This window comes from Homo sapiens, chromosome 11, assembly GCF_000001405.40.
Source record: "Homo sapiens chromosome 11, GRCh38.p14 Primary Assembly".
Taxonomy (NCBI): Eukaryota; Metazoa; Chordata; class Mammalia; order Primates; family Hominidae; genus Homo; species Homo sapiens.
In genome coordinates, this window is record NC_000011.10 from 84,002,304 (window position 1) to 84,022,066 (window position 19,763).

The window sequence follows — 19,763 nt, forward strand, 5'->3', positions numbered from 1 at the left end:
CTGGAGGATGGGGGCCCTCTTCTTACAGCTCAACTAGGTAGTACCCCAGTGGGGACTCTGTGTGGGGGTGCCCACCCGACATTTCCCTTCCCTATTGCCCTATCATAGGTTCTCCATGAGGGCTCCTCTCCCACAGCAAACTTCTGCCTGGACATCCAGGCATTTTCATACATCCTCTGAAATCGAGGTGGAGGTTCCTAAACTTCAGTTCTTGACATCTGTGTACCCACAGGCTCAACACCACATGTAAGCTGCCAAGGCTTGGGGCTTGCATACTCTGAAGCAATGGTCTGAGCTCTACGTTGGCCCCTTTTACTCATGGCTGGAATGCAGGGCACCAAGTCCAGAGATTTCATAAAGCAGCAAGGCCCTCGTCCTTGCCCACAAAAACCATTTTTTTCTCCTAGGCCTCCAGGTCTGTCATGGGAGGGGTTGCCATGAAGATGTCCAACATGCCCTGGAGACATTTTTCCCATTGTCTTGGTGATTAACGTTGGTTCCTTGTTCATTATGAAAATTTCTGCAGCTGGCTTGAATTTCTTTTCAGAAAATTGTTTTATCTTTTCTACTGCATTGTCAGGTTGCAAAGTTTTCAAACTTTTATGCTCTGTTTCCCTTATAAACTTAAGTTCCAATTCTGAACTATCTCTTTGTGAATGCGTAAAACTCAATGCTTTTAAGAGCACCCAGGTCACAACTTGAACACTTTGCTGCTTAGAAATTTCTTTCACCAGATACCCTAAATCATCTCTCTTAAGTTTAAACTTCCACAGATTTCTAGGGCAGGGGCAAAATGCCTCCAGTCTCTTTGCTAAAGCATAGCAAGAGTCACCTTTATTCCAGTTCCCAATAAGTTCTTCATCTCCATCTGAGACCACCTAAGCTTGGACTTCATTGTCCATATCACTATCAGCATTTTGGTCAAAGCCATTCACCAAGTCCCTAGGAAGGTCCAAACTTTCTCACATCTTCCTGTCTTCTTCTGAGCCCTCAAAACTTTTCCAACCTCTGCCTGTTACTCAGTTTGAAAGCTGCTTTTACATTTTTGGGTGTCTTTATAGCAGCACCCCACTCCTGGTACCATTTTCCTGTATTAGTCCATTTTCATACTGCTATAAAGAACTGTCTGGGACTGAGTGATTTATAAAGGAAAGAAGTTTAATTGACTCACAATTCAGCATGGCTGGGGAGGCCTCAACAAACTTACAATTATGGCAGAAGGTGAACTGGAAGAAAGACACCTTCTTCACAAGGTGGCAGGAAGCAGTGCCAAGGGAAGGGGAAGAGCCTCTTATAAAACCATCAGATCTCATGAGGACTTACTATCACAAGAATAGTATGGGGGAAAACACCCCCATGATTCAGTTACCTCCACCTGGTCTCTCCCTTGACAGATGGGGATTATGGGTATTATATGGATTATAATTAAATATGAGATTTGAGTGGGGACATAAAGCCTAACCATATTAATTCCACAGAAATACAAGATTATCAGAGACTATTAGGAACAACTATGTGATAAAAAACTGGAAAAAGTAGAGGAAATGGATAAATTCCTGGAAACATACAACCTTCCAAGGTTTAGTCAGGAAGATACGGAAAACCTGAACAGACCAATATTAAGTAGGAAGTCTGAAATAGTAATAAAAAGTCTCCCAGTAAAATAAAGTGCAGGATCAGATGGATTCACTGCTGAATTCCACCACACATAAAAAGAACTAAAACCAATCCTCCTCAAACAACTCCATAAAAATTGAAGAGAAAGAAATTCTCCCTAACTCACTCTATGACCAGTATTCCCTGATACCAAAACCTAAGGACACAACAAAATAAGAAAACTATACATGAATATTCCTGACGAACACATCTTCAAAAAATCCTCAACAAAATACTAGCAAACTGAATTCAACAGCACATCAAAAAGATAATATACCATTACAAAATGGGATTTATACCAAGGGATGCAAGAATGGTTTTACATATGCAAATCAACAAACATAATATATCACATCAACAGAAGGAAGCACAAGAATCATATGATCATCTCATCAGATGCAGAATAAGTATTTGAAAAACTGAACATCACTTCATAATAAAAATGTTCAACAAGCTAGGCAGAGAAAAAATATACTTCCAAATAATAAAGGCCATATATGACTAACACACAGCTAACATCATACTGAATGGAGAAAAGTTGAAAGTTTCTCTCTAATAACTGGAACAAGATAAGAATGCCCACAAAATACTACACCAAAAAACTCTTAGATCTAATAAATTCAGTAAAGTTAGAGGATACAAAATCAATATAAAAAATCAGTAGCATTTCTGTACAACAATAATAGTCAAAAAACAAATTCAGAAGGCAATTTCATTTACAATGGTTACAGAAACCAAATACCTAGGAACAGATTTAACCAAGAAAGGGAAAGATCTCTACAAGGAAAACTACAAAACACTGATGAAAGAAATTAAAGAGGACATAAATGGAAAGACATTTCATGCTCATGGGTTGAAAGAATTAACATAATTAAAATGAGCTAACTTCCCAAAGCAATCTACAGATTCAATGCAATCCCTATAAAAATACCAGAGTCATTTTTTTTTACAGAAATGAGAAAAAGAATTCTAAAATTTATATAGAATCAAAAAAAAAAAAGAGCCAGAATAGCTGAAGCAATCCTGAGCAAAAACAAACGAACAAAAATCCCCCCAACCAAAAAACCCCAAAACCAAAAACAACAAAACAAAACAAAACACAAAAACAAACAAACAAAAAACAAAGCTGGAGGCATCATACAACCTGACTTAGAAATATATTACTAGGCATGGTATTGGTATAAAAATAGACACTTAGACCAATGGAACAGAATAGAGAAGTCAGAAATACATCCACATGTTTATAGCCAACTGACATTTGACAAAGCTGCTAAGAACATGTACTGGGGAAAGGACATCCTTTTCAATAAGTGATCCTAGGAATATTGGATATCCACATGCAAAAGAATGAAACTGGACCCCTATCTGATCATATACAAAAATCAACTCAAGACAGATTAAAGCCTTAAATGGAAGGCCTGAAATTATAAAACTCACAGAAGAAAACAAAGGGAAAACACTTCATGACACTAATCTAGGCAAAGATTTTATGGCTAAGACCTTAAAACCACGGACAACTAAAACAAAAATAAACAAATTGGACTATATTAAACTTCTGCACAGCAGAAAAGACAGTTAACAGAGGGAAGAAACAACAAATTGAATGGGAGAAAATGGTTGCAAACTATTAATCTGACAAGCGACTAATATCCAGAACATACAAAGAACTCAAACAACTCAACAACAACAAAAATAATCCCATTAAAAATGGGCAAAGGGCATTAATAGACATTTCTCAAAAGATGACATTCAAATAAAGATGCTCAAGATCATTAATCATTAGAGAAATGCAAATCAAAAACCACAATGAGATATCATCTTATCCCAGGTAGAATGGCTATTATTAAAAAGACAAAAAATAACGGACGCTGACAAGGACATGGAGACAAAGGGAACTCATACACTGTTAGTCAGAATGTAAAATAGTGCAGCCATTTGCCACTATGGACAATAGTATGGTGATTTCTCAAGAAACTAAAAAAGAACTACTATACAATCCAGCAATCTCACTACTGGGTATCTATCCAAGGGAACATAAATCAGTATATCAAATAGATACTGGTACTCACATGTTTATTGCAGCCCTATTCACAATAGCAAAGACATGAAATCAATCTAAGTATCCATCAATGAATAAATGGATGAAGAGAATGTGGTATCTATACACAACAGAATATTATTTGGCTGTAGAAAAAAATAAAATGTCATTTGTAGTAACATCGATAGAGCTAGTGGTCATTATATAAAGTGAAATAAGCAGGTAAAGAATGACAATTATTGCATGTTTTCACTTACATGTGGGAGCTAAAAAGTTGGCAGATACTAGAAGCTGGGAAAGGTTGGTGGGGAGAAGAGAGGTAAGTTAATGGGTGCAAATACACTTAGATGAAACGTATAAGTTCTATTGTTCAAAAGCAGAGTAGAGTGGCTATAGTTAAAAACAATGTATTGTACATTTCAAAGTAGCTAGAAGAGAGGACTTGAATTGTTCCCAACACACAGAATAAGTATTTAAGTATTTACGATAAATACTTAAGTATTTAACACTTTAAGTATTTACAATAAATACTTAAGTATTTAATACTTAAGTATTTACGATAAATACTTAAAGTGGTGGATGCCTCAAATACCCTGCTTTGATCATTACATATTCTATGCATGTAACAAAATATCACACGTACCCCATAAAGATGTAAAATATTACGTATCAATAAAGATATGGCAAATTATATTCTGTGTCATTGGTAATATGTTCTCTTTTTATAATAAAGCATCATTTATTCCTTCTCAAATTTGCCTTTTTTCTTTACTATATTCAGTAATCACTCATTAAAAACTCACTCTAGGAGACTTTTTCCCTCAATTTTCTCTCTGCTCATGATTTACTTTGAGCTTTTCCTTGTTCCCCCAACACTGACTGTTTGTCATATCTTCTTCACAAAACCAAATTGTGAAAAATAAAATATAACACAAAAGATGTCTGCAATCTGCTAAGAAACTAAAAGACTAACCTTAAATTTAAAAATTTATAAACATTTTAATTCACCAAAACTGTCAAGTGGGCATTATTAGTAGAAGCTAACTTTACTACCTCACTCGATCACCCTTATAGGGCTCTTTGTAAAAGAGATAATTGGAAAATCTGGACTCAGCTTGCATCCTAGGAAAGAGTGGAAGTTATGTAATTGAAACAATTATACAAGCATTTCTTTTTGCAAGGACATCTTGCTCACTATGAAACAACAGAGGGCTTACTCATTATGGTTCAGATTTATGAAGTAACTAAACAATATTTCCAGTATTTATTGTATGGTTTCAGACATGCCAAAGAAGGTGTCTGAAACCACTGGGTAACAGATGCTCCCTCATTATATTATGTGACAAGTGTTAATATTTTCAATTACACAGCAGTTGAGTTAAGGTATCTTTACTTTGCCATAAAATCTATTTTATTGCAACTAAATATCTTTTATATCAAATCCATTAATCTTTAGAACAATCTATCCTATCTTGCATATCCAATTGTACAAGGCTTATAGCATGTACCTTTTGTCTTTATTTAATCTTATACTTTTGCCCAACTTAGTTTAATTTACACAAATAAATTCAGCTACATAATTGAACATCTTTAATGACTGCTTAAAAGATATAATATTTTGCATGCTAAAATAATAAATGGACTATTGGAACAAGTCACTTTTAATGGATCTGTTTTCTAATACGTAAAGAGATAATATATGACACAAGCACCATGTGGAATAGGAGAAAGATTACTGGTATAATCCCTGGTTCTACCATTTAAAAACTGTATGACCTTGTAATATGTTGTTTAGCTTCTCTGAGAATCAGTTTTATCAGGAAAATGATATCAAGGAGGCTAATACTTACCTCATAATATCACAGTGAGAATTAATTATGATAATGTATGAGAAGGAACCACACAGTATAAGTTCCAGTATTGAAAGGATATCTATTCCCTTTGCATTTTCTTTCAAGATTGTAATGAGAGACAAATGTAATGTAATACATCATACACTTTAAACCATTTACATTTATTTAAATTTTAGGTATTATTAATATCTAAAGCAAAATACTAGAATATAAAATGAGTTATTAGACACACAAAACTATGTCATATCATGGTCACTCACATCATCTATTCTCTTATATTTTATTTCTCAAACTCTCTTAAAATACTTTCATTTATCCTCATAATTGGTTAATCCCATGAAATAAAATGAGACAAATTACAGATCTGGGTATAAAACCCTATACTCTTGTATCATCTTCTTAGTGAACTCCCTCCAGTTACTCTACCTTATGCTTAAATTGTGAATTCTTTAAGAGTCTCTATCAGTTTCATATGGACATAAATACAATTTAATTAATATGCAATGTTTGGCTTTTGCAGCACAATTCCAAATGTAACAGAATGTATGAAGTTATCTCAATGATTGATATAGTTAGCTCACATGTTTTGGAGATGGAGTTTTGGTAATTTTGGTATGTATCTCTATTCAGACAGCTGTTGACAGATGGAAATTTGGTTTAAGAACTGTTCCAGAACATTCCTCCCTTTCCAAAAGATCATCAAATGCTTTTAATAAGCATATTGGAGAAGACTAGAGAGACAGACATACAAAAATATCCACAACAGGTATTTTGATAATAGAGAGAGAAGGGTAAAAAGAAAAAGAAGAAAAAAAGCTCTGACAAGTGAAGTCAGGTGAATTCATACATATCAAAAATAAATTTGCACATTGGGTAGAGGCAAAACAAGATCTAAAACAAATTTGATCCTTTGGGTAGAGGTAAAACAAGGAGTACTATATTAATAGATCTAGGAGGAATAGGGGACCATTCAAATAAGAGTTCCTGGGATGACCCAGTTGTCATTAGGTGGATCACTCTCTTCTTTGTGCAGTTACATCTAGTGTCTGTCTTTATCTACAGATTTTTTCTTGTTTTTTTTTTTTGTTGTTGTTGTTTTTTGACCTAGAGTGGGAATCAAGCATGTACTACTCAAACTACCTCTCTTCTTGATGCTCCATACCTAGAAAATACTAGACTTTCAATAAATATCTGTTAACAGGATGAATAAACAAATCAAGATTGCTGCTGTTTTCTTTTTGTATCAGCATCTTAGATTTTTGATTCCTCTAGCTTTTAACTATGGTTTCTTATATTTTACTTCATGTATAGGACTAATAGTATACCATTTTGGTCCTGATTCAGGAATTTTAAGTTGGAATATGCCTAGAAGTTTCGAAATGTTAAGATATAAATCCCTCTCACATTTGCCATGATATTTTGGCATTCAAGATGCAAAACAAACAAACACCACCTTCGATCGCACAAAACCTATCCCCAAACCTATAGGAAATGATTCTAGAGGTGAAAATGCAGAAATATATCCATAAAGATGCTAACTCAAGCTTCTAAAGCTCACATACTAAAATGAGCATATTGTATGCTTCCTATTCTTTATATGGTATGATTTTTTTTCTGATCTATTCTTCAATAATGAGGTTGTATAACTTGAAGGGTGAATTTAGCAAGGAAAAGCTAAGCTGCCTATTTGTTTTTATCAAAAGTGAGTTTTTATTTGATTCCTACAAGGGTGAGCAGAGAACAGCTAAAGTGAAGGAGGGAAGGGCCCTTGGGTGGGTGACCAAGTTAATACTTCTGTCTAGTTTGATGCTGTGCAGTGTGGAGTTTTAAAGGTTATTCTCTGGAGAAAATAATATTGAATGAGATAACAATATTAAATGAGGGACAATAATGATTGTTTTTATTATTTACTATATGCTAGGTACAAAGAAAATTACATTTCATTCACTATGCCTTATCTCATTTCATCTCATTAAAATAAAACCAATGAGGCAGGTATTATAACATTTTACAAACAAGAAAATAAAGATTAAAGATGTTAAGTAGTTTTCTTAAGGTCAATGATTTAACAACCTGTGGGCCAAGACGCGAATCCAAGACTGTCTGGCAGCAAAGCCTTTCTTCCTAAGCTTATTGTTCTATTCAGCCTCCCAGTCTGTGCACTGTGTTCTGGTATCACAAACTCTGAAGCATTCTACAAATACATACTAATCTTAGTAGCAGAAACAATAAAAATGAATTTAAAATATATCTCAAGAAAAAATCTAAATAGTATGAAAATACTAATATTTCTCACACCGGCATCAGCTAGAACTCATATTTAACTGTAACACACGTTGCTAAATTTTAGATCTATATAAAGATTTCTGAGAATGACATAAATGATCATGACCACTGACATTTATTTTGAATGATAAAATGAATGATCCATGCATTTTAATTGTATTATTATTATTATTATTATTATTTTTGAGACCGGATCTAACTGCTGGAGTGCAGTGGCACAATCATAGCTCCCTGTAACCTTGAACTTCTGAGCTCAAGCAATCTTCCTGCCTCAGCCTCCCAAGTCAGTGGGACTCCAGGTGCATACGACTACCCCAGCCAATTTTTTTATTTAGTTTTATTTTTTGTAATGACAGGGTCTTGCTATGTTGCCTAGGCTGGTCTTGAATTCTTGGGCTCAAGTAATCCTCCTGCCTCCGTCTCCCAAGGTGATGGGATTACAAGCATGAGCTACTGAGTCTGGCTGATGTGTGCATTTTAATAAAACCAAAAGTTGATATGCTAGGAAAAGTCCTAGCTCCTTTCTCAAATATTGTACCAACTGAAGTATGACAACATAATTATTAAAAGGAATTGTTTAGTTTTAAATTTGATACCAATAGCAAAATGAGAGCAATCAAAATACCTACTGACATGATGTAAACACTTGAGCATTATTATCATTAATTATGTGCTTGTGTCTTTGCACTAGACAGTGGCTGCTGAAGTCTCGAGTCGATCAATTAATTTTAATGTGTAAACTGGGTATACAACTCTTGCATTATCAAATCTTTGCACTTGACCAAATTAAAAATCATCTTTAATTTCTAAGCAATTACTTTCCTGTATTTCGAATTAGTTCTAATCACAAACTATGTAATTTTCTCCTTCCTCTTGTCTTATAAGCTTTTAAAATTATTTTATTTACTTTGAGAAGCATGAAAAATCTTTTTGGCCACTATAAAAAATAAAAAATAAAACAGGTTGAGTGAACTTAAAAATGTTGATTTTGGTAATATTACTTTAAATGTGTATTTAAAGGATACAATAAGCCAATTAAATAAAGACAGCTTGGCTGGGCATGGCATTTTATGCTCATAATCCTAGCACTTTGGGAGGCTGAAGTAGGAGGATTACTTGAGCCCAAGAGTTTAGACCAGCCTGGGCAAAATAGCAATACCCTGTCTCTATAAAAAAATACAAAAACTAGCCAGGTGTGGTGGCATGTGCCTGTGGTTCCAGCTACTCTGGAGGCTGAAGCTGGAGGATCACTTGAGCCTGGGAGGTAAAAGCTGCAGTGAGTTGTGACAGTACCACTGTATTCCAGCTTGGGTGACAGAGTAAGGCCTCATCTCTAATAAATAAATAAATAAATTAATTAATTAATTAATAACAAGAAAAACCAGCTTTACTCTTCTAAATGTTACAGATTGTGAGAAGACTCATTATTGTCAGTTGGCATTTTTACTCCTTTAAGTCAGTTATAATTCAGGGTACTTTCTAGGGCTAAGTCAAAGCTCTGCATCTAATAATAAAAATAATCTGGATCTACATTTCTGAGGGTAAGGAAAAAGCTTAGTCCTTCAGTGACAGCTTTGCCCATTAAGAAATGAAACAATGAATGTGGCCAAATATAGCATTTGGACCATGCTATGCTCTATGAGTACAAGAGAGTTAAAACCTTGGCACTAAAAAACACTACCACCCTTTAGTGCTAATGTTTTCTGGTCATCAAATAAAGAAATACATGTCCATAGCACATTTATTTTTTAATTTTTAAAATTAAAAAATTACATGTGTTTCAATTCAAAGCTATAAAAATATAATGTGGATTGTATTGTTTATAAAATCCTTCAATCAATTGGATTTTGGAGCAATAGTTTGCTAGATGAAGATTGTTTTTTACCCTGATTAAAATCCAAAATGGGATATTCTCTGTGAGACTTACATATATAGAAAATAACAAAACAGATTTCCTAGCATTTAAATGGATAGTTCGCTTGCTTTTCAAGACTAACAAAATCTGCTAATGCTATATTTTGAAGTTTATCAACCTATGTCTAAGAATAAATAATTTCCACAATACAGTAGTAGCTGTCATGAAACATTTTAGTTATTGTTTCTCTGGTCTCAGGCTTTTGCAAGTGTCCTTATGTACTCCAGATCATTGTGTACTATTTGTAAGACAGAAGAAATACAGATCCTGATTTTTGGCAAGAAACGCACAGAGTAGGACAGAAGCAGGGAGTCAAGCTACTCTTGACTTCCTGTTTACTCTAATAGCCTTTGGAAAACTTGGTGAGACTTCCAACATCCACTGACCTTGACCACTGTTGGGTCATTCGATGGTGGCATTTTGTGGCATTTATATATTGCATGTAGGCATTACTACTGAAATCTTTGGAATATAGTTGGCAAATGCAGTTGGGATTCTCTCCAGTTTACCAGGGAGACTATGAGATTGTGGCTTGTTTCTGCTTTACTGTCAAAATATTCAGAGTTTCAAAACAGAGTCTGTGGTTAGGTTGAAGGGGAGAAAAGTACATTTAAGATTACTCCCCGTAGAGTAGCACATGTGAATAAACAGGAGGAAAGCAGGATCAGTCAGAAAAGTTAAATAAAAAGGAAGTTGAGCACTTTTGCTTCATTTGGCCCTTTGATTTAATAGTCAAAGAATCTTATAATTGGAAGGGATCTCGGGGTTAATCTAATCGAATACCCGCTCCAGGTCCATGCATATGGTCATCTAGCCTTTACTTAAATACACTGTAACCAAGGTGGAACCATTAACATTTCTTTTTTCTCTATATTAATTAATTGGCTATGATGTTATTACTTCTATCAACAGGTCTCAGATCTGTCTTTTAAAGGAAAAGAGAATAAGCTGGGTTGTCTGTCCCTATAAATGATGTCCCTTTAAATAGGTAGAACAACTACCTTTAGAAGGGATTCCCCAGATCATCTGTCTTACTTCTCTAATTTTTCAGGGATTAAACTAAGACCTCCAGAAATGAAGTAATTTCTCAGAGTTACAAAGCTGTTTAATTGCAGAACCTGAGCTAAAAGCCTGGCTCAGTTACATGGAAAGCAGAGATTTTGAAGCCAGCTATTATAGCCACCTTATCTTCTTTGCTCTAAGTGAAGCAGACCTAGTTTCTTCTACTTTTTCTCATGGCACTAAGCTTCTAGACTTCATACTACACATCTCCTAGTACCTACTATGGGCTAGGGACAAGCTTCACAAAGAGAACAAGTATCTAATATTGAGGAGCTCATGGTCTAGAATGGAAAAATAAATAACTGCAGCATCAGTGAGAAGTGCTATATTTATGAAATATGTTTAAATTCCTATGTGAACATAGATATCAGAGTGATTGCAGAACGTTATTGAAGTGATATTTCAGTTAATAGAACTGATTTGACCTCTTTAATAGCCTACAGCAATAGTAGTATTACATAACAGAAGTCTCCAGCTGGGCGTGGTGGCTCACACCTGTAATCTCAGCACTTTGGGAGGCCGAGGTGGTTGGATCATGAGGTCAGAAGTTCGAGATCAGCCTGGCCAATGTGGTGAAACCCCATCTCTACTAAAAATACAAAAATCAGCTGGGTATGGTGGTGCACGCCTGTAATTCCAGCTACTTGGGAGGCTGAGGCAGGAGAATTCCTTGAACCAGGGAGATAGAGGTTGCAGTGAGCTGAGTTTGCACCACTGAGCTCCAACCTGGGTGACAGAGTGGGACTGCGTCTCAAAAAAAAAAAAAAAAAAAAAAAAGCTCCCCTACTTCAGTTAAAAACTTCCTTAATTAACCAAAACTCATAACTGTCTTGACTGGACCTGGAGATGCTAACTTCTCATGGCTAGAAAGCTGCTCTTGAGTATATCTTCACAATGCTCTGCAAACAAGTAGAGTTGTACACTTACCAAATAGAATTGTATACATACCTAGTAGAGTTGTGTATTTATCAAGATTCATCTGAGTTTTTTACCTAACCCATTTATCTCCCTTTAACTTGTTAATTATGTCAGCTGCTGTTGCTGTTGCTGTAATTATGTAATTTGATTAAATATTTTGTGAAGTGATAAAATACTCATCTTAATGTTTCTATAAAATGTAAGGTGAATGTTTTGGAAAGGCTTGTGAAACACCAAATGTTTAAAACATGCTATTAATGTGGGCAAGATAATTATGAAAGGTTGAGGAGAAACAAAGTCTAGAAGTATTTGGACACTCATATTACTTTCCCAATGTCTTTTATTATCAGTCAATTTTCTTCACAAAAAATGGTTGAGACCCATGGCGACCATTTTAAATAAAAATAGGCAATTTAATATACATTAATGTTTTAAATGAAAATAAAATGTTTAAAGAATCTTCTCTGTATCTGACCAATCTGGTCAACTAGTCTTGTTCCTATTACACAAATGAGTTCTTATTGACTACGTACCATGTGCCAGGCACATTGTCTGAAAGAATTGCCTGCATAGTTTTATTTAATCCTTGGGCCAACTATTACTACAACTTAACATGTAATGAGTCTTAGAAAAGTTCAACAACATGTTTGTGTTCCCACAGCTAATAAATCAGGAAGAGGGCATTCCAATCCGCTGTTATGAAAGGCATGATTTTACAATGTACTTTCTCTTTCACAATCCAATATAAAATCAATGATGTTTCTTGCACAGGTGCACCTGCCTACATCCTAATCCTGATACAGACTTTTTTTTTTTTCTGTATAATTAGTTTTGAGATAAAAAAAAGGCCAACATCTACACAGCATATCTCCACCCTCGAGAATGTTACTTCTTGTTCTGGAAAGTCCCCTTCCTCGGTTTACCCATTTGAATACATACGTAATTTGGTGTAGATACTCATTAATTTCTTCCAAAAAATTGTTCCCAAAGAAACCACCTCACATTGATTTTTTCACCTTTACTTTTGTAGAATAGCATTCATTATTGGATTTTGTACATTTAATCATTCACCTATTCAATAAATAAGTGTCAAAACATATTCTCAGTACTCAATAAATATTAATTAGATTGATTTTACAAACAATTTATAAGCAGAGGCTACTATGGCTTAATTCATTCACATCATAATTATTAGTTGATCACTAAATATAAAGAAGCATGTGCCAAGTAGAAAGATGATTACGTATGAAAGCTCTATTAGCACTCACTGACTTAGCACTATCATTGCCAGGCACTTTTCTAAGACTTGTGTGTATTAACCTTTTACATTTTTTTGTTTAAACTTCCAACTTTTATTTTAAGTTCAGGGGTACATGTGCAGCATGTGCAGGTTTGTTACATAGGTAACGGTGTGCCATGGTGGTTTGCTGTACAGATCATCCCATCACCCAGGTATTAATCCCAGCATCTATTAGCTATTCTTCCTGATGCTCTCCCTTTTTCCACTCCCCACTCTCCAACAGGCCCCAGTGTGTCTTGTTTCCCCCCATGTGTCCATGTGTTCTTATCAGTCAGCTCCCAGTTATAAGTGGGAACGGGTGGTATTTGGTTTTCTGTTCTTGTGTTAGTTTGCTGAAAATAATGGCCTCTAGCTCCATCCATGTCCCTGCAAAGGACATGACCTCGTTCCTCTTTATGGCTGCATAGCATTCCATGGTGTATATGTACCACATTTTCTTTATCTAGTCTATCACTGATCAGTATTTAGGCTGATTCCATGTCTTTGCTATTGTGAATAGTGCTACAATGAACTTACATGTGCATGTATCTTTATAATAGAATGATTTATATTCCTTTGGGTATATATTCAGTAATGGGATTGCTAGGTTGAATTCTTTTGGCCCTAGGTCTTTGAGGAATCCTCACACTGTCTTCCACAATGGTTGAACTAATTTACACTCCCACCAACAGTGTAAAAGCATTCCTTTTTCTCCACAGCCTCATCAGCAGCTGTTGTTTTTTTGCCTTTGAATAATAGCCATTCTGACTGGTGTGAGATGGTATCTCTTTGCGGTTTTTATTTGCGTTTCTCTAATGATCAGGGATGTTGAGCTTTTTTTTCATGTTTGTTGGCCACACCTCTGTCTTCCTTTGAGAAATGTCTGCTCATGTCCTTTGTCCACTTTTTAATGTGGTTATTTTTTTCGTGTAAACTTGTTTAAGTTCCTTACAGATACTGGATATTAGAGCTTTGTTAGATAGATAGATTGTAAAATTTTTCTCCTATTCTGTAGGTTGTCTGTTTACTCTGTTGATAGTTTCTTATATCCCATATGTCAATTTTTGCATTTGTTGCAATTACTTTTGGTGTCTTCATCATAAAATGTTTCCTCATGCCTATGTCTTGAATGGTATTGCCTAGGTTGTCTTTGAGGGCTTTTATAGTTTTGGGTTTTACATTTAAGTCCTGAATCCATCTTGAGTTGATTTTTGTATATGGTATAAGGAAGGGGTCCAGTTTCAATTTTCTGCCTATGGCTAGCCAGTTCTCCCAGCATCATTTATTAAATAAGAAATAATTTCCCCATTGCTTGTTTTTGTCAGGTTTGTTGATGATCAGATGGTTGTAGGTGCATGGTCTTATTTCTGGGTTCTCTATTTTGTTCCATTGTTAACCTTTTCTAGATTGCCACATCACCTTATAAGATAGGTACAATTATTATTCTTATTTTGTTGAAGAGGAAACAAAGGACAAGAGATCAAGTAAAACATTCCCAAGGTCATACAGCAAGAATCTAGTACAACCAAGATTTACATAGAATCTGAGTCAAGGTTGCAGTATTAATTATTATACTATGTTGCCTAAATAAACAGAATGATGAGAATAAATACACCATACTTTGAGAACATAGAGGAGAGTATTCCCCAATGGAAGTAACTTTTTCTGTTGAATTCTGAAGGAAGATTAGGAGCCAACCCAGTGTGGTATTGGGGAGAGTACTACACAGAGAACATAGCATATGCAAAGACTTCAAGGAAAAAAAAGGAGAGAGATAGCATGGCAGTTTGAGGAAACAAGTATGTCAGTTCAGCATTGTAGAGAATTATTATTTCAAACTGGGAAGAGCAAAGAGAACAACTAGCCAATGAATTTTAAAAAGGGGTATTTTTAAAATTGTGTAAATAAGCATAGCCTTTTCAAATATTACTCTATTTGAATAATGCATTACATAATAAAGTATAGTCTTCTGCCTACAAATTCACAGATGATTATAAACAAATAAAGAGAAGAATAAAAATGTACTCATAGAGGATTTTGAAACCAATGTTATATATAAATTAAATCAGTCACAATTGGAAAGGAATTCTTTATTAAGCTTTTAAATGAAAATGCATTTATTTTTCCATTTTTAAATTGTTATTCTGAGATCAAATATTTGAAAAATATCTCACAAATTATGTATCTAATCAAAGTGAAGTTTATATATGTGTGCTTGAATAAAGAGAGCTACAAATTTCATGCAGATATTTTAATTTCATTTATTTAGCTAGCTCTTTTGGAATAATATCAATGAAATAGCTACCATGACACCTGGGGGCCTGGTGTTTCACACAAAAATTACATTTTCTTTTAGAAAGTAGCTCATTATATTGTCCTTTTAAGTACTAAGAAAAGGATGCCATATTCACTCAGTGGTCTCTATCGTCTTAAAGAAGAACATTGAAAATAAAGCTCATAACAATAATTACAACACTTAAAAAGTATTTAGTACCTACTATGTGCCAGGCACTGTTCTAAGCACTTTAACTTTCCATATTATCTTTCAGCTCTTTAAAAATGCCATTCAATTGGCTTCTAGGCTCTGTTGTTTCTGATGAGAAGTCAGGAATAATTCTTATCTGGTTCTCTATTTTATAATGCATTTGTTTTCTCTTACTGCTTTTATTTTATCATTGGTTTTCTGCAGTGTCTCTATATCCATTGTGGTAGTAGTTTGCTTTATTTGTTTGTATTTATCCTGTTTGAAACTTCTTGGATCTGTATGTTAACGTTTTTGATTAAACTTGAGAAAATTTTAGCTAATTTTTTTTCTTTTCTTTTTTTCTGGTCATTATCTCTTCCCTCTCCTAGTGAGGATCCAGTTACAGATATATTAAACTGCTAGGTATTACTGTACAGGTCACTGAAGCTCTGTTCACTTTTCCTTAATCCATTTTTTGTTCATTTCAGTTATGTTTAAATTCATTAGTTCAAAATAATACTTTTAATAATAGTCATAATAATACAACTAATTGTACCTTTCAAGATGACAAGGAAACAACTCATTATCTTGAGAACTGGGTAAGTAGTAAAAAAGAATCAATCACTTACAATGCCTTTCTTATATAAGCTCTACAACTATAATAAATGAGGATAAATGGCTCTTTGCAAAATTATTCCAGATAATAAATAGAAACAAAATTGATAGAAATATTATCACCTTAAGAATTGAACATTAATGGCTGCTAATGTAAAAAAGGGTGAAAATAATATTACTTGCTTTATTATAAAAGGGCGTGCCATCACCTATAGTCTAGCAAAGGGATCACACATGAGTCTGATAATACCTCTAGATCCAGCTGCCATTTTTTTTTCTTTTTTGAAAGAGTAGAGAGAGACATATTGAACTATATTATGGGTATACATTAGAGATGAGTAGATTTGGCAAACTATATAGGTCTAATGGCCTGAGTTCTTCAGCAGATAAACTATAAGGTAAATAAAATATAGAGTGGAATTCAACAAATTAAAGAAGACTGAAAAGACAAATTAAGCTAAAAAAAAAATGGGCAAGACTAAAATAGTGTATCCAGGAAAACATATAGGAATAGAGCATCCAGCTTAAAACATAAAGGAATAGATGAAAAGAACATAAAGGACTACTTTTAAAGTCAGATTAGTGGTTACTTTCAGAAGGAGAGAAAGAACTGTGATTATAATAGGCATGTAGAAGTGTTCTGGTAGCTGGCAAAGTTCTATTTTTGTTCTAGGTGGTAGTTACAGGATTTTTGTCTCATAATAATTATATAAAATAATACATTAAACAATATGTATTTTGTATGCTTTTCTGTATCTGTGTTTTATTGAATAACAAAATGGTAAAAAAAATGCATACACAATATGCCGTTCAGTATTCTCTATGTGTGCATGTATTTGTGTTTTTTAGTAAAGAAAATTCTATGTATTTCCAGGAGTTTGAGCTCTTAACCAGGATATTAAAGGAAAGGGTGATTCTAGAAGGCAGAGTTTTGTGACCTCAAGGTTATAAGTCCAAGTTTATATTGAAAATTTTAATTCTGTCAAAATAGGCCCCAAGAATGAACTAGAAGGGTGAAACAAAGAAAGGTACATTTCTCTACAAAATAACAGATCATGAATTTTGAATGTTTCCCTGGTAGATACATAGCGAAAAGACGTAAGGAGGATTTTTTGAGAGAGGGAGTGTTGTGGGTTTAATCTTGTTCTCCCAAAAGATGGTGAAGTTCTAATCTCCAGTATCTGTGACTTTATTTAGAAATAGGGTGTTTGAAGATGATTATGTTAAGATGAAGTTATTAGAGTGGTCCCTAATCCAATGAAACTGTGTTTGTTTTAATAAATGGAAAATTTGGACACAGAAACAGACATGCATACAGGGAGAATGACACGTGAAGACCGAAGGAGAAAGAAGAGTGATTCATCCCTAAGCCACGGAATGCCAAAGATTTCCGGCAAACTACTGGAAGCTGGGAGAGAGTCATGGAACAGATTCTCTCTCACAGTCTTCAGAAGGAAACAACCTTGCTAATATCTCGATCTCAGACTTGTACCCTCCAGAAGTATGAGACACAAACTTTGTTGTTTAAGCCACTTAATTTGTGGTACTTTGTTATGGCAGCTGTAGCAAACTAACACAGAGAGAGGGCATGCCAGAGGAAGAAGATGGCAGATTCTGGACTACAGGGAAAAGCACATGGAGAACTTGCCTGTGGGGGATGGCTAAGGAACTTCAGGACTAGAGGTGGCCAGGAGACAACTGTGAGAAATGCTGAGGAGGCACTGGAGGTTTCAAGCTGGGGGCTTGAACTCTAAATTGGGATATTAAAGGAAAAGGGGATTTGAGAAGGCAGAGAATTTTGTACATCAAGGTTATAAATCCAGGTATATATTGAAGTTGTTAATATTTAGGTATTCTTTATGCCTTTGAGTAAATACATGAGGAAGACTTGCACTGAAACAGAAAAGGAATATGTGTATGTTACGAAATATATATAGATATAGATGATATGTGTGTATATATATTCATATACATGCAGTATACATTCATGTTGTCACTACATACTTACATACATACATACAAACAGGTATATAAATAAAAATGAGTCCACTGTATGTTTAATTAATATTATACACACACATGTAATATTTGAATGTGAGAAAGAGAAAATGTACTCTTCATTCAGTGGCTTGTATCCTTCGCAGCTGTAAATAAAACAAGCTGAAAGGCAGCTAAAAAGATGAAATCACTGTCAAGGACAGACACACAGGAAAGCAGTTTTATTTTTAATGTTTTGAAGTCATAAGAGTTATTTCTGCAAGTGTACTGCTTGGTTATTTTTCCTTTTTTCATTTTCAGTGTTTGTCTTTCATGCCTTGTGGGCAAGGACATTTGTATTGCTATCTGCATAGCCCCTTCACAATAATGTCTTCCATTCAGCTCTCTCAGGACGGCATACAAAGCCCGTAAATTAGAACGATTGCCATTAAAAGATTGTGTGGGAAGTTCTTTCGGTTATAAAATTTTCAAAGCCTTAAAGTGCTAGAGCCAATTACTGGGGCAATTAGAGGGTGACTTTTTCACTATGGATACTACTTTAAGTGGCCCTAACACTAAGAGAGCTGGGCCCACACACTTTCTTCCTAAATCAGTAGGCCTTGGGCAGATTGATGTCCCAAATCAGCAAACAATATAGAAAGGGTATAGAAAGTTACAGAAACAGAAGGAGGGACTATAGAGATGAGTATTTAACTCTAGAACACATATAATAAGAACTGCCATTTGTGGAATATCTACTGGGTGCCCAGTACCTATTTTCTAGCCCCTTTATATACTATTACATTACTTAAACCAGAAAGCCACACTTTAACATTGGTATTACTGTTATTCTCATCTTACAGAAAAAGTAACTGAGACTCAGAATTTCTATGTTAATGGACATGTACAAATAAGAATCATATCCAGCAACTGAACCTAATCTGACAACCAAACCTGTACTATTTCAACTTCACCAAGCTGAGAAAGAAAAAAAAAAATGATTTACAATCTGTTATAAGCCCTTTCTCCCCAAAAGTTCATGTTTCAACCTATTCTTGACGAAAGAGCTGACCCTGGTTGTGCTGCTGCAGTAGTTCTCAAGAGAAGGAGCTGACAGGTCTTAGAACTTCTTCCAGTCTGGTCCTTAAGCAGCTGCTAATAATAGGATACTCCTCTCTGATATGCTTGTCAGCAGCAACTGCTTAGGAAGTATGAGTCCATGACAGTACCTGTGGGTGGAATTCCAGGTAGAGAAAGAAATCACTGCCGTCTAGATACATTGGATGATATCTGGTAACATCAAACTGGGGAAATAAGTTACATATTAGCGAATTTTTTAAACCTGAGTATATTATTTCACTTTTTTCTCATTGTTATTGAGAAAAACAACTACTTCTTTTTTTTTTTTGAGATGGAGTTTCGCTCTTGTTGCCCAGGCTGGAGTGCAATTGGCTCACCTCAACCTCCGCCTACCGGGTTCAAGCGATTCTCCTGCCTCAGCCTCCCAGGTAGCTGGGACTACAGGCATGTGCCACCACACCTGGCTAATTCTGTATTTTTAGTAGAGACGGGGTTTCTCCATGTTGGTCAGGCTGGTCTTAAACTCCCAACCTCAGATGATCTGCCCGCCTCGGCTTCCCAAAGTGCTGGGATTACAGGTGTGAGTCACCCCACCTGGACAAAACAACCGCTTCTTACTG

General features: G+C 35.0%; 1 protein-coding gene across 53 annotated transcripts in view; it reads right to left on the bottom strand.

The window, feature by feature from the left end:
* Nucleotides 1-19,763, bottom strand: part of DLG2 (discs large MAGUK scaffold protein 2) — a 2,173,362-nt gene that overhangs the window by 547,292 nt on the left and 1,606,307 nt on the right. Inside the window, exon 6 of one of the 53 annotated variants that reach the window (NM_001377983.1) lies at nucleotides 15,083-19,292. The exons of the other annotated variants lie outside the window; for them this stretch is intronic. Coding sequence (NP_001364912.1) covers nucleotides 19,252-19,292 — 41 coding nt within the window. The 3' untranslated portion in view covers nucleotides 15,083-19,251. Of the gene's footprint in view, nucleotides 1-15,082; nucleotides 19,293-19,763 lie in introns of those variants that run through there. 53 annotated transcript variants of the gene reach the window in all.